The sequence below is a fragment of the Homo sapiens genome, chromosome 15 (genome assembly GCF_000001405.40).
Source record: "Homo sapiens chromosome 15, GRCh38.p14 Primary Assembly".
Lineage (NCBI taxonomy): Eukaryota > Metazoa > Chordata > Mammalia > Primates > Hominidae > Homo > Homo sapiens.
In genome coordinates this window covers 52,771,833-52,786,593 of record NC_000015.10, presented here as the reverse complement: position 1 = coordinate 52,786,593, position 14,761 = coordinate 52,771,833, and the positions used below count along the sequence as shown (strand labels likewise).

The 14,761-nt window shown below is 44.7% G+C and overlaps 1 protein-coding gene across 2 annotated transcripts in view, besides 1 other annotated feature; it reads left to right on the top strand.

Annotated features, from left to right (window-relative positions):
• ONECUT1 (one cut homeobox 1) overlaps positions 1 to 14,761 on the top strand; it is a 35,284-nt gene that overhangs the window by 3,743 nt on the left and 16,780 nt on the right. Inside the window, exon 1 of one of the 2 annotated variants that reach the window (NR_073510.2) lies at positions 5,710 to 5,998. The exons of the other annotated variant lie outside the window; for it this stretch is intronic. The gene's annotated coding sequence lies outside the window, so the exon portion shown is untranslated. Of the gene's footprint in view, positions 1 to 5,709; positions 5,999 to 14,761 lie in introns of those variants that run through there. 2 annotated transcript variants of the gene reach the window in all.
• Positions 6,067 to 6,116: an enhancer, noted in NCBI's record as "active region_9437". NCBI's record gives its function as "activates an Ori minimal core promoter by ATAC-STARR-seq in GM12878 lymphoblastoid cells {active_cell/tissue: GM12878}" and the evidence as "EXISTENCE:reporter gene assay evidence [ECO:0000049][PMID:35858748]".

The window sequence follows — 14,761 nt, the reverse complement described above, 5'->3', positions numbered from 1 at the left end:
CTGGCAGGTGCTTGTGGCACCCAGGAGGCTATCGAAGGAGCGCCTGCCTGGGCACCCAGCAACCTGTAGAGGTCCATGCAGCCCTCGGCCCTAGGCCCATGGCCTTTTCCTCGAAAAAGTGAAACACTGGAGAGTCCAGCAGGGCAGGCATTTGGCACCAAACACCAAGCCGACTCTGTGTCCTGAGACCCTGAGGAAGCATGTCTATTACATTTTTGTTTCCTTAACTTAAAAGGGATGGTGGAAAGGGCTAGGACTGAGGATTCTGTGTTGGTCCAGGAGGGTCTCCTGCAAGGAACCAGGAACAGTCTCTTCACAACCTATTTTTAAGTTACTGAAGAAGGAGCCATCTCATTAACATTTTCATATTTTAAAAAGAGTGGGGTTATTTTCTGAACTTTCCAAATGATCTCTAACGGGCCAAGTGCATGAGCCTTAAAATGGATTGCAGAGCGCCTTGGCCGTTCCTACGGGACATTAGTGCCTGCCCCCCACTACCAGCTCCCATATGGGGAGGTGCCCCTGGCAGCTTTCCTTGCTGTTGCGCTCAGAGACCCTCCCCAGTCTCGTTCCAACCACCTTGCGAGGTCAGGGCTCACTGAGCTCGGTTCCTTCGCTCCGCAGCGGGAGAGTGGTGGCTTCTCCACGCCCCTCTGTCCTCCAGTTGCCGGCAGCCTGTTGCAGAGGGTCAAAACCCTCTTGCACGTGGCGCTGTGTTTGGGGAGGCGCCTTCCGGTCACGAAATAACAGCGGCTGGTGGAAGAAGGGCGACAGGAGGAAATTCCCACCAAATTAACTACCTTTTAAAAATCAATATATGTTCCCTCCATGTACTACTTGCTGCTGCCCCATTAAAGAGCAGAGCGACAGGGTTCTCGCCGCGTCTCCTCCGGGATGAGGCGGGGGGTGTGGGTGGGTGGCGCGCCTCTGACGTGGGCGTCTATCAAGACCAAGATTAGTTTCCAATTAAAGATTCCAGAGGGCTTCGGCCACACAGCAGGAGCTGCCGGCTCGGAAAGAGACAGCGACACACACCCAACAGCAAGCGCAGCACCGCGGACCCAGGGGAAGGCGGCGCGCAGGCCCGAGGTTCGGGCGGGGGTGGGTGTTGGGCACTCCGACCCTGCCCTGCGGGACTTGGAGGCGAGGAAACCTCCAAACCCCGCGGGGGAGTTGGCGGCGCCCCCTTCCCGTCCGGTGTTTGCCCCAGAACGACCTAAGAAGGACCTGAGCCAAGGGGGGAGGGGTTCGGTCGGGGGGCGGCCATGAGAAAGTCTCGCCCAGCCCAACCTGGGCTGTGTTTGCCCTGAGTGGCCTTGCGGCCTGGTTGATTGATAACTGGCCCCTGCACAAGTCCATTTGCTTTTTTGTTAATATTTATCCCGGGGTGACATTTCAAATGTCCCCCTGCTTTTCTGGGCCATGGGAGTCAGGCAGGAGTGCGGGGCCCTAGGCAGAGCCCTTCAATCCTTGAAGACTTCTGGGCCGGGAGAGAAGCCAGGACTGGGCGTGTGGGACGCAGGAGCTGGAAGCGTTCCTGGGTCCAAGAGTTGGGGGAGAAGGAGTCAAGCGCAGCGGTTTCCTCGCGCTTCGCGTCTTGGCGCTGTGGGTCTGGTGTCGCGCAGCTGCTCCCAGCCCGCTGCGGCGCGAACAAAGGGCCAGCAGGGCGCGACCGACCGTGTCCGCCTCTGAGCCCGGGGCGAGGGGCGCCGCCAGCTGGGAGCGCCTCCTCCGAAGGCCTAGGATGGCCTCCTACGGAGACCAAGGAGTCCCAGAGCCCGCCAGGCCGAAAAGTGGCAGTGCATCCCGGTAGTCAACTGGGGACCCTCACACACACACACCTAGCCGACTGCAAAACCAAAAAAGGTCTCGCTCCTGCGGACAGTCACCAGAAGGCTCTGCGTGGTGCCTGTCTCACGGCCGGTGTCTGTCCCCTCGAGGGTGTAGGACCATAGTTCCCCCTGTGTAGTTCTCTCTGTGTAACGGGCATAAACCCGGGTGAGGAGAGGGAGGTGCGCTTGGGGATAAGAAGTGGGCTCGTGGCGACGACTGGAACCGCTATGGCTGGGGCAGGGGAAACCTACTTCTGGGGCTTAAGGGGGGCTGATGGCTATTGTGTGGCGACCTTGGTGTCAGCGCAGCTAGGATGCCTGCCAGAGACGAACTCCACTACCTGTTCGGAGGTATGCGGCTATCCCGTCAATGGGTGCAGCACCTATCGCCCTGGAAGCATCCGGAGAGGGATCCCGGTAGCTGGGGCGACCAGCCTGACCCAGGGCACAGCGGTTGCTAGAGACCCAGCCCCGACATCGCCGCTTACCACCGACACTTGGGTCGGACAGTGCCAACAATAGCACGGTTGTGTTGTAGCAGCAGAGGACCCAAATCCCAGGATGCGCCTCTCCTTATCTGCAAGCCTCGAGCCCTCCGCGCTCCCTGCTTCCCTCCATTCGGCTCCCTTTCTGGGGGTAGCCGGGCTGTGCTGCGGCTGCGGCGCGCGCCCCCTGCGGGCCGTCGGGGCTGGGCGACCCGCGAGCGTCCGTGGTTCAGCCCGCGGCAGCGAAGAAAGGGATGCTTGCTGCGCCTTTGTTTTTAGAACGTCGTTGTTCTAGTGAATTTCAAAACAATAACTATTTTGATAGGAAGAAAGTGTGAAGGAGGAAGAGAAGGATATCTAGAGGGTCTGTCGGGGTACCTAACAATGCCTGGGTGTTACCCAATTCATGAAAACAAAATTCTCATCTTCCGAAGTACACCTCAGCTCTAACCTCCCCAAAAAAGATGCGTACTTGGATTTTGTATCCGAAGTATGCTTTTGTTGGCGTGTTTTCATTTAAGAAAAGCGGGGTCAGCGTAGAGAAGGTGACCCTGGCGGTCCGAAGTCGGAGGTTGGAGCTGAGGGATATAATACCCGGCGGATTGGCGGTTCCTTTGTTTTGTTGTTTCCTCTTCCTGCAAACTGACCGGAGTCAGGAGGCAGCCCTGAGGCCTTGAGCTGAGAAGTCTTTGTTTCCTCTTGTGTGGGGTGGGTGAAAGGGCCTTCGGAGGCCGACTGGTCTGGAGCCCTGGCGCGGAGTCAGGACCCTGGACAGGGTCCCACCGCCCTGACGCCTGGTCCCATTTCTCTTCGCCCCGGTAGGCAGATAGAATGTCTTTGGGAAGTCATAGTAAGAAAACAAAAATTAACAGCTAAAGTTCCGAAGTTTCTTAGGGCGCTAGGCCCAGCCGGGAATATACACTGGCACACTGAGGTAATCGAAAAGATCAAACCTATCCTCGTCGATCGGGTGGTTGATCTTTTCGTCCCTCCACGCGGCTTTGTGTGAGTATCTGAGTGCACGTGCACACCTGCTTATAAAATCGGAATTCGCGTCCCTGTGGGTGTGACAGGGGTTGGATCATTAAGCTAAAACGTTCAATTCAGTCCCTTTGATCCGCGCTGGGGAAAATCTATAGTCATCTCTAATCTACGAGGTCTTTAAGGAGGTTGTTACACGAGCTGTTTTGATGTCATTATTTCCACATTCATGGCAAATTCAGCTAATCAAACAAATGCTGCTACCCCAAGTTATCAGAAGAAATCGTTCTTACAGAGCATACCAATAAAATTTATTTCTGATTTTCTTGTAAGACAGAAAATCCTCAAGTCTAATAAAGGTGGGTAATTAAGAAGGAGGCTCTCCAATATCCTGCTCCTCAGCTTGAGGCCTTGTTCCTCAAGTGACATTGCTTGTGCTCTTTGTAAAGTCCATTTATTGGAATATTTAAACACCGACTTAATATTTTAAATCAATCTAGGAGCCTTGATGGTTTGAATGAGAAATGACTAGTTTCCTTTCAGTCCCCATTAAAACAGCAGAATTTCCACACTCTTGGTAAAATTGAATGGCCCCCAACCTAGGGTAGCAACAGAAGGAAGGTGTTACTGAAGTTGTGGTTGTTAGAGGGTGCATTTCTTATAATGCTGGAGAAAACATTTAACAAATATTTATTAAATAATACTCTCATTGTGTCTCTATTTGAATAAGATGGATAAGCATCTTTGGGAGAAGAAAGCCACATTATTTCTACATAAAAAATGTCAGTCTCATAGAGTCCAGTAAAAAGAAAAATATTTCTTATGTGAATGGATTTAGTGCACAATCATAAATTCCTACCTTCTATCAATAGGTTTGTATAGGTTCTTATTTTAATACAAGTATGTTAATACTAACGAAGTTTAATTTCCTCCTGAGATAATAAGATTGGGCTAGGTGACTAGACCAATCACAAGACAATCTGATTATTTTGATACAAACATAAAAATTACTTATCACAGGGTCTTGCTATAGAAGCATCCACATATGTCTCTTCCAAGAGATGTTACGGTATCATAAAATTGTAACAAATTAATTTCTAGAAATTTTCTTTTCTTAATAGCTAATAGATGCTGGGCTTAGTACCAAGATGATGGGTTGATCTGTGCAGCAAACCACCACGGCACATGTTTACGTGTGTAAAAAACCTGCACATCCTGCACATGTACCCTGGAACTCAAAATAAAAGTTGAAGAAAAAAAGAAATTTTCTTCTCTTTTAGATGAGGCAATTTAATAAGACAACAGCTGGACAGAACTAGACCCTAAAGTACAACCAATCTCATTTGTCATAGTAACTGATAAGGAAGAAGCTTAAGTTTTTTGTGCACATTCTATTTGTTGGGTACTGTGATCGGAACATAGATGTTCTCATTGAAGACTCAACATTTATACCAGTGGTTCCCAAATCTTGCTATACATTGGAATCACTTAGAGACCTTTAAAAAAACTGATGCCTAGCTGCAGCTTCAGATATTTTGATGTAATTGGTACAGGACGTGACATGGGCATTGGATTTTTATAAACTCCCAGGTGATTTTGATGTGCAGCCAAGTTTGGGAACCATTAGTCTAAGTGGTATTTACCACTTTTTTCCCTGTTGCTCTCTTCAGTGAGGTTAAATAATTTACTTGTGATAACACCACTGGAAAACAGTGATGCCCTGAGCTCAGCTTTCCCAGTCCAAAGCCCAGAACATTTTATCCTCCATCCCATGCTTCTGTTGCCAGGACAGGTGCACCAGGTTAGTGGAGTCAGAATGTGGAAATAACTGATTCAAAAGTCTCTACATAATAAGCTCTTGAAATTAGAGAAAGTGTGTCTTTCCTTTGGGACTCTCAAAAAGAGTCACTTATGAAAACTTATTTCTTTTATACTCAAGACTTGTAAAAGAGATTTTTTATTACTCTTTTTTGAAGAAGCAGCCAGAAAATGTGAGGAAGTGCCAGAAGTAGATGTGAAACCCCAGCCTCCCATCCCTTTGTTCACTTAAACAATTATTGATGGACAAGACCTATCTCATTAGATGTGCCTGTGGGTGGGGCTGGTCCATTCGGTCCCTTGCCTTGAGGGGGGCCCAAGGGCTCAGATCTTCCCATACCTTCAGGCATTGGCATTCTGATCTGCACTTGGACAGCAATTACACTTCTTGGCTCCACATCAGTGCCTGCCTTGCTATTTCAAAGATTGCCTGTAACTCAAATTTTAGGGCTCTGCACTAAAAAGTAATAAATTGACCAAAACAGAGTATATAGGCTGGGAGTTGTCTAGAGGGCATCTTGCAATTTCTGTCAAACACTGCATGTTTCCAGTCACCATGTGTTTCTCATCTTCCTTTGCATATGCCGCCACGGGATATTCAGAATCGACGGTTTCTGAAATCACTGCTTTCGTTTTCACATCTGGTGATGATCTCATAGTCCCAAAGAGAGGTTATCGAAGGAACGCAATAAACTATGTGCTTTTTGCTTTCTTTCCTGTTGTCTTCTAAAACAGATCAATGGGGAAAATTAAATAAACAAACGAGCGAAGCGCGCCACCTAGTGACCTCTGTGCTCGCTGCAGATTCTGCGACTGAAGTGCGTGAGAGGAGTGGCTAAAGCGATTCGAGTATTGATGGAGTCACAAAAATCGTTCATTAAGGCAATTTAATCTTTGCTATTAAATGTCCTTTCAATTCATTTGGGGTAATTAAGATGCAGTTAAAGTGATTAAATTCTAATTACTTATGCTAGACAAAGACATATTTGTCACACTAATGCGGTTAACTAAGGACTCAGAAAGAAAGTTAACATTTACTTCAAATGATGCAACTGGAAAAATCAGTTCCTCTTTTCATCATTAATCCAGTGAGCTGGGTGATTATGTAATGGCACTACCAGCTCATTAAAAGGGGGAAGTGCTGATTAAAATGACTGCTAGGAGGAAAACTGGAACCAGAAGTACCTCAGTACTGTTTGGTCAGCATTCCTGCACAAAATTACTTGGTGTTCTTTCCCTCCAAGCCCCCCACCCCAGAGTAATAAACAGCTCCTGAGTTTCATCCTGACATTAAAAAAGGGCTGCCTCACAGAAAGCTTTTAGCATCTGCCTGCAGACGTTGTTAAACCAAAAGATTTGTTTAAATGGTAAAAGAGGACTTGGTGTAGAGAGGACCAGGCAGATGGGAAGGGATAGGGAGGAAGAGAATTCCTGAAGGACACAGCTCCAGAAGGAAAATTTCCACTACAGGCTTCAAAAGCCCCCTTTGTTCACACCAACACCCATCCTGTTAGGAAGCACTCCTTTTCCTCCCCAGCTCCACATTTACTGTCTGATGGATGGAGACAGATGCCTCTGCCCTAGACTTATATACCACACTCGGTTATTATGCATACTCTGGAGAGCGCTAAGTACCTCTGCTGAAGATTGGTCTCTTTTTGGCATTTTTCCACATTCGCATGTGGATTAGAAACCGTCAAGTCACGGAGGCTAGTTTGCCATATCTCCATAGATCGTTCCCAGAGTCTTAGTATAGCCTAATTATGAGTGCTCCTAAGGGGAAGATGATTTTAAATTTAATGAATTTAAAGTTTTCCTTACAAAAATGGCTTTTTAAGGAGGCACCTAGTATTTGCCTGGTGGGTATGGGGAATGATCCAAGGACAAGAATGATCAATCAGATAATTGGGGACTGTTTATCCCCCAGGAGACCAGTGTCTCTTAGGAGAGTTAAATTTGCATATTGAAACTATAATTTTGGTTTCTTTATCCCATCGAATAATATCACCCGTCTTTATAACCAAAGAAATGAAAGTTATCAAATTCATGCCACTTAAGTTAAACAAGTTTTTTTTTTAAATAAACTGGTCGGCCAGGCACGGTGGCTCACGCCTGTAGTCCCAGCACTTTGGGAGGCCGAGGCGGGCAGATCACAAGGTCAGGAGATCGAGACCATCCTGGCCAACAGGGTGAAACCCTGTCTGTACTAAAATACAAAAAAAAAATATTAGCCGGGTGTGGTGGCCTGCACCTGTAGTCCCAGCTACTCGGGAGGCTGAGGTAGGGGAATCACTTGAACCTGGGAGGCGGAGGTTGCAGTGAGCCTAGATCACACCACTGCACTCCAGCCTGGGCGACAGCGAGACTCCAGCTCAAAATAAATTAATTAATTAAATAAACTAGTCAGTTATTTGAATATTTACAGTCATTATTAATGTAATGGATCGTATTACACCATCTTCAGTTACAAAAAAAAAAAAAAGAAAACCCTCTCTGGATTAAGAATAAAGTGCCCCAGAGGAAGATTTCTGTAGTAATTAGCTCTTAGACATTGTCAAGTAATTTAACCTTTCTGGGCCTCAGTCTCAATAAATGTAGAATGAAGGATTTGGCTTTAGGGTCCCTTCCAGGTGTCACATTCTATGATTGATTGCCTTCTATGATGACTATGTATCTATCCATGGGGAAGCTTAGTTGGGGCCCTAGTCTCTTCTAAGTTTAGTGCTCTGTCTGCAGTTTCAGGTCTCAACAAAGTGTAAGCCTCAGGGGGCCAGTCCCTTGTCAGGTGGTCAGGAGGAAATAACCTATCCAGGCAGGAGCTCTGCCTTCTGGCCCCAAAGTGCTGCAGCTTGAGATTCCATTGCTTGTGTTCTAGTAAGACAAGCTGTTAGCAAGGATATGGGTCATTAGGAACTCTTAGCCACTACTGGTGGAAACGAAAGTAAATTGGCACCTTCACTACAAAAACATAGTGTCAATGACTTGGCATCATCTTCTCAACCTGGACCTACATATATCTAGCAATTCTACCCTTTGGCATATATTATAGGTAAATTCATAAATGCTCTTAGAGACATGCAAAGACTGTTCTTGGCAGCATTGTTCCTAAGAGCAGAAAAACTGAAAAAGCCTAAACGTTCACTGACAAGGAATGCATAAATAAATCATGATATATAAAAACTATTTTTAAAAAAATGAGTAATAAACATAAATTTAGAGGATAGGGGAAGGCAGGGAGATAAGAGGCAAGAACACCCTGTAGCTTCACAAGGCAACTAATGTTCTAGTTCTTTTATTGAGTGGTGGACTCATAGATGTTCATTTTGTTTTTGTGCTTCATATCTTACATATATGATACATATTGTTTGGTAGGCAGTGATTATTATTTATTTTTAACATTGAGGAGGTAGAAACATTGTTTTTGTCTGATTCCTCAACCCAAGCAATTCAGACCAAACAAACCTCAAGACATACTCTATTGTCATTTAAGCAGGTTCTAGCCCCATACTAAATATCAGCTCTCATAGGAATTACATTCAGCCATTTTTGGACGGGAGGATAAAATAAGTAAAAGAGGGAATTTCATTAAATATGGAAAAAAGAGTTAATTTTTTCACTCATTTGAGCACCTGCTGTAGCAAGTTCCGTGCTCAGGACCGGGAATGGAATGTACAACACAATTTTTCTTTGGAACTCACAGTCTAGCAGGGAAGAGAACAAATAACTTTACATGTTTTTTTGTGTGTGTGTGTGTGTGTGTGTGTGTGTGTGTGTGTGTGTTTTCCAGGAAGGAGGAGTTTAAGGTGTGATGAAGGGACAATTTTGAAGATCTGGAGGATGAGTAGGACTTGGGACAGAAATGGAGGAAGAAGTTTCCAGGAAGAGGGAACAACAGCATGCGTGGGGGCCCTGGCTAAACTCCTTTTGTAGAAGAGCTCTTAGATCAGAATTACTATGAAGCTAAAAGCTTGTTTCTTTCCCAGCACAGCTGAGTGACACAAAACATTGCCATCAATTACAAAAGCATTCTCCAAAGCTGTGGTTTTCAGTGGTAGGGAGCCATGGACTGAGGGTGTCCTATTCCTCTAGAAGAGCAAATCAGATTGGAGGGAGAGAAGGGGGGAGAATATGTGCTGCTTAAAAAGTTTCCCCGGTGATTCTAATATAAATTCAAGTGGCAAATTAGAATAATGGTATTGAGAATTTAAGGGTAGATGACTCTTATTTTTACTCCCTTTTCCTACTTACTTCTGGAATAACCTATAGCTCTGTAGCTTACTCTGTATAACTGTGTGTTTGTGTGTGTTTATAAAATCTTTTACTTCTTTTGATCTTTTTGAAATCAAAAGTTCACTCAAAACTTCAAGATCCTTAGAGGAATAATTGATTCAACATGCTCCTCCATCTAAAAAAGTTATTAATGTTCTATAGGTCCTCACTACTCAAAGTGTGGCTCCCTAAACAGCAACATCGACCTCACCTGGGAACTTGTAAGAACTGTAGACCCTCAGGTTCCACCCCACACCTACTGAACCTGAATCTGCATTTCAGCAAGACCCCCAGGAAATTCTTGTGTCCATTAAAGTCTGAGAAGCACCACTGATGGCCATGTTACATCACTCAAAAGGTCTGTTTTCCTTCATTCGCCCAAACACTGATCGGGTGCCTCCTATGTGCCAGGCACTAGGCTGAGTACAGGGGCACGAAAGAGGAATGAGGTGTTTATTGTATCCTGAAGGAGCTCACAGGGAGGAAGCATGCAGGAAAATAAATACCGACAAAGTCTCTGATCTGGGTAGAAATAAAGTTCTGTGGGAGCAGCCAGGAAAACTGGAAAGGAGACTGAAAGGAGATGACAAAGGACCTGGTGTGTTGGTGCAGCCCAAAGGAAGTTGTGACCTGTTGTGGAATGAAATGGTCAGATTTGTGCTTTTGAAAGCATGCTGGAGAGGAAGATAATGGGAGGAAAAGTCGCAAGGGACTAGCTAGAAGTGGCAATAGATTCTGAGGGTCTGATTATATGTCATTGTCAGCAAAGGTGGAGAAAATGGGTGGCAAAATTTGAGAGCTATTTCTAAAGTCGAGTAGACATGGTGGAGAGTGAAAATGGAAATGGAACAGGCTCCTTGCTTCTGGCATGGGAAGCTGGGTGCTTGGATATACCTTTAGCTGCAGAGTGGTTATGTGGATGTCAATATAAAGATGGAATGTTTCAGAATAGTTCACCCTCTCAAATACATTCCTACGATAGGTGGGCTCTCTGGCTTCTGTACAGATTTGAGGCATCCAATCAGTTAGATTGTTTCTGCCTCACCGGAACCTGTTACTTACTGAGAGAGACATGATGTGAGCACGATGCTAATGAGGTGAAGATTGTGGGTCCTTTGGGTCCAGTTTTCACTTCCCGGTGTTGGTGGGCAGTGATGGTTACTCACATTCCATCCAGCCACTTCCCTGGGTACAAGGAGCCCTGAAGAACCAGTGGAAGGGGTTAGCCCAAATCCATCCCTGCTGTTAGAGAAACAAAAGTAACTCCCCAGTAATGGTAGCTCAAGAGCTGTCTATCTATAAACAAAGAGAACAGCAGAGTAGACAGAAGCACAGACATGTAGGTGGGGCAGACAAATGTTGGAAAGTCTTGGTTTGAGTCACTTACAAATCTATCTGTGATGGAAACTAATCAGTTTAATGGCAAGCATATTTTCATAAGAAAACACATTTTACTTTCCTCCGATCTAGTTATTTTCACAGTTGTTCCATAAGCAACAGACTTTTTTAAAGAATTGTTTTTAATTAATAAATATTTTGAACATATACTAAATGCACATCATTATTTTAATTTGAACAGCATGAAAATGTATACAGAAAAAAACAAGTTTTCCTCCCAATCATATTCCCTAAGTCCCCAAGTCCCCCTCCCTTAGAAGAAACCCCTGTTACCAGTTTCTTGTATATTCTTAAGAGATAGTCTATGGCTCTTTAAGAGTGTGTGTGTGTGTGTGTGTGTGTGTGTGTGTGTGTGTGTTCCTCTTTAAAAATAATCAAGGGCCTCTCCCATCTCCCAAAAGATAACTTTCTAGGGAAAGTACTAAATGGCTCTTACTTCTTTTAATTATTTGGCCAGAAAATTGCCTCCCTAGAAGATGCTGCCCAGTGCAATTATCTGAGTAATGAAATTAAAAGAGAAGTAGTACAGGGTGACCACCCCTCTGCGTAGGTTGAAAATGCTCCCAAGTGCTTCAGTGGTGGTCCCCTTATTCTAGCTTATTCTAGCTCTTTTTTTTTTTTTTTAGACAGTCTTGCTCTGTCACCCAGGCTGGAGTGCAGTGGCGCAATCTCAGCTCACTACAACCTCCGCCTCCTGGGTTCAAGTGATTCTCCTGCCTCAGCCTCCCGAGTAGCTGGGATTACAGGTGTGTACCACTGCACCAGGCTACAATTTGTATTTTCAGTAGAGACAGAGTTTCGCCATGTTAGCCAGGCTGGTCTTGAACTCCTGACCTCAGGTGATCTGCCCACCTCAACCTCTTATTCTAGCTCTTTTATGAAAGACAATTCAATGTGTGAAAGATGTTCAAAATGCAAGCTTATAAAACATTATATCTACCATACAGTTTCCTCTTTTAAAGTAATAAATACACTCAGACACAACTACAATATCATTTTGGAGCACTACCCTCAACACAAGGGTGGAGATTTTTTCCAAAAAGTTAATTATTGTACCGCTTATATATACTTTTTTGAATTCTGCTTTTGTCATGACATAGCCTTAGTAAATTTTTTTTAACATTTGTTTGATACTTACCATGTTCAAGCACCTTGTATCTTATTTCTTAATTTATGTTTTAATTTCAATGCTTTTTTAAAAGGTAACTTCTGGCCAGGTGCGGTGGCTCACGCCTGTTATCCCAGCACTTTGGGAGGGCGAGGTGGGAGGATCACGTGAGGTCAGGATTTCAAGACCAGCCTAAGCAACATGGTGAAACCCCGTCTCTACTAAAAATACAAAATTAGCTGGGCATGGTGGCGCTTGCCTGTAGTCCCAGCTATTTGGGAGGCTGAGGCAGGAGAATCACTTGAACCCTGGAGGCGGAGGTTGCAATGAGCCAAGATCAAGCCATTGCACTCCAGCTTGGGCAACAAGAGCGAAACTCTGTCTCAAAAAATAAATAAATAAATAAATAAATAACTTCATTTCTTGTTGCAAATTATTAGTATTATATACATCCTTTGAGCTGGAGCTGCAGGGTAAAACACTAATAAAGAAAAAAAATAAAAGAATCACCCACAGCACCCCACACAGATAACCCTCTGTGTGTGTGTGTGTGTGTGTGTGTGTGTGTGTGTGTGTGTGTATCCTTCCAATCTTTTCCCTATGGGATGGTACATACTACTACTTTGTAACTTTTCAAACTAAAAAATCCCATTATTAAATTTATGGTGGAGTATTTGAAAACACATAAAAGAATAATGGAGACAATAAAAAATCTCTGGTAATTCCATCATCCCTGTCCTTTCCCAAATATATCATGAATAGCATTCATTTATTCAACATATAGATAGAGAGAGAGGATATTTGCAAGAGCCTTCCTTCTCTCTCATTATCCATTTATGATTGGAGTGGACTCAGGCATTCCTTTTTTTTCCAGTGGCTTACAATTCATTACTGTACTTAACTATTTTGGTGCTCAAATTGTCCCAGATTTCACTGACGAGAGCCCTTTCCCTCTGACTCCTGTGTCCCTATGACAATGCTTACATTTTTTTTTAACTTTCTGGCATCATAAGATGTTCCAAGCTCATTTGGTACATATTCTGCCCCAATCCTAGAATGTGCCACTTCTTTGATGAGCCCTGGTTTATCCTGGTGGGGAAACATGTTAGAGTCCAAGACAGCCTAGGCACTAAGTGTGCTCATGGCTTTAGGGTGACTTTTGGTTTTCTACCCTCTCAGACAAAGCCAGGAAACAGATACATATACATTTATTTACACACACATACAAATATGTGTATACACATCATACATACATAATATCCATGTACGCATAAACATGCTTATATACGTGCTCATGTACGTATTTCTAAAATCATTAGTTCATACCAGTACCTCCACCTCCAATTGCAATATATCCTCAGAGGATTTTTCCCTGCCTTCCCCCATTCCCTATTTATATGTCTTTTCCTGCACAGTGGGAACTCTGGTACCCAGTAATCTACCTCTCTCTCTCTCTCTTTCTCTCTCTCTGTCTCTCTCACACACACATTTACTCATTTGCTCAATCCTGTAATACATCTAAAATCATTTCAAAATTGCTTTGCCCATACCCATAAAATAAACAAACCTGCTTAAAAATGTTTTAGTTAAGATTCATTTGCAGTTCTCTCTCCCCACCCCACCTGCCATACCCACGCCCCAGCATCACTTGGGAGCTTGTTAGAAATCCTATGGAATCAGAAACTCTGGCTAGAAACTCTGGCTTGTCACGTTTTAACAAGCCCTGGAAGTGATTCTAATGCATGTTACAGCTTGATAAGCACACGCCAAAATATGCAGCTTGGGTTTGTTATATGCGTATGTGTGTGTGCACTCATGCCACGTCTTATTATATAAAATAACACTTTAAACATCCTCTAAATGTAACAACCCTAAAACAAGCCCAGTACAAACTAATAGGGTTCCTGTCACAGCATGGGTGTGGAGCTGCAGAAATTAAAACAAAAACAACAAAAACCCTCCAGTTCTTTAGTTCATCTCTTGGAGCCAGCCCGGTGGATAATAAGGAGTGGCACAAAAACCTTGTTCTTCCTCTTTCTGGGCATGAGATACACTTACTTGCCCACAGGGATGCCCTTCAGTCCCACAGCTCCCTCCCTTCCATGTTAGGCACTTGGCAGTAAATTCAGACAAGTCAAGATGAAGGAGGCCCTGTCAATTAGCGCTAAAAAGCTCACAGCCATTACTCTGATCTTTTCCTCCATTCTCACCCAACTTCCTCTTTCATCATAATCACAGAACAAAACCCTCTGCCTCCAATGAACTCCGTGAACAAACTTCACACACATCTCGCTTTTTTTTTTTTTTTTTAGATGGAGTCTCGCTCTGTCGCCCAGGCTGGAGTGCAGTGGCACGATCTTGGCTCACTGCAACCTCTGCATCCCGGGTTCAAGCGATTCTCCTGCCTCAGCCTCCCAAGTAGCTGGGACTACAGGTGTGTGCCACAACGCCCAGCTAATTTTTTGTATTTTTAGTAGAGACGGGGTTTCACTGTGTTAGCCAGGATGGTCTCGATCTCCTGACCTCATGATCCACCCGCCTCGGCCTCCCAAAGTGCTGGGATTACAGGCGTGAGCCACCGCACCCGGCCACATCTCGCTTTTTTTTCCTCTGCCAGGTTGTCTATGACAATCAATGCAGCTGGGTTTTACAAGTACAAGTTCACTGTGGGGAGAGAGGAGGGTTACCTGGGCCCAGTCCCACAGAAAGATCCCACAAAGCAGGCTTTCCTGGACCTGAACTCACAGGAATTACCTGGTATTCTTCTCAAAGCACAGATTCCCAGGCCACTCTTAAGATTCTGATTTAGTCAGCCTGTGTTTTTGCCAAAGTATGGAGTAATTCTCTTGAGCTTGGAAAGGTCTAAAATA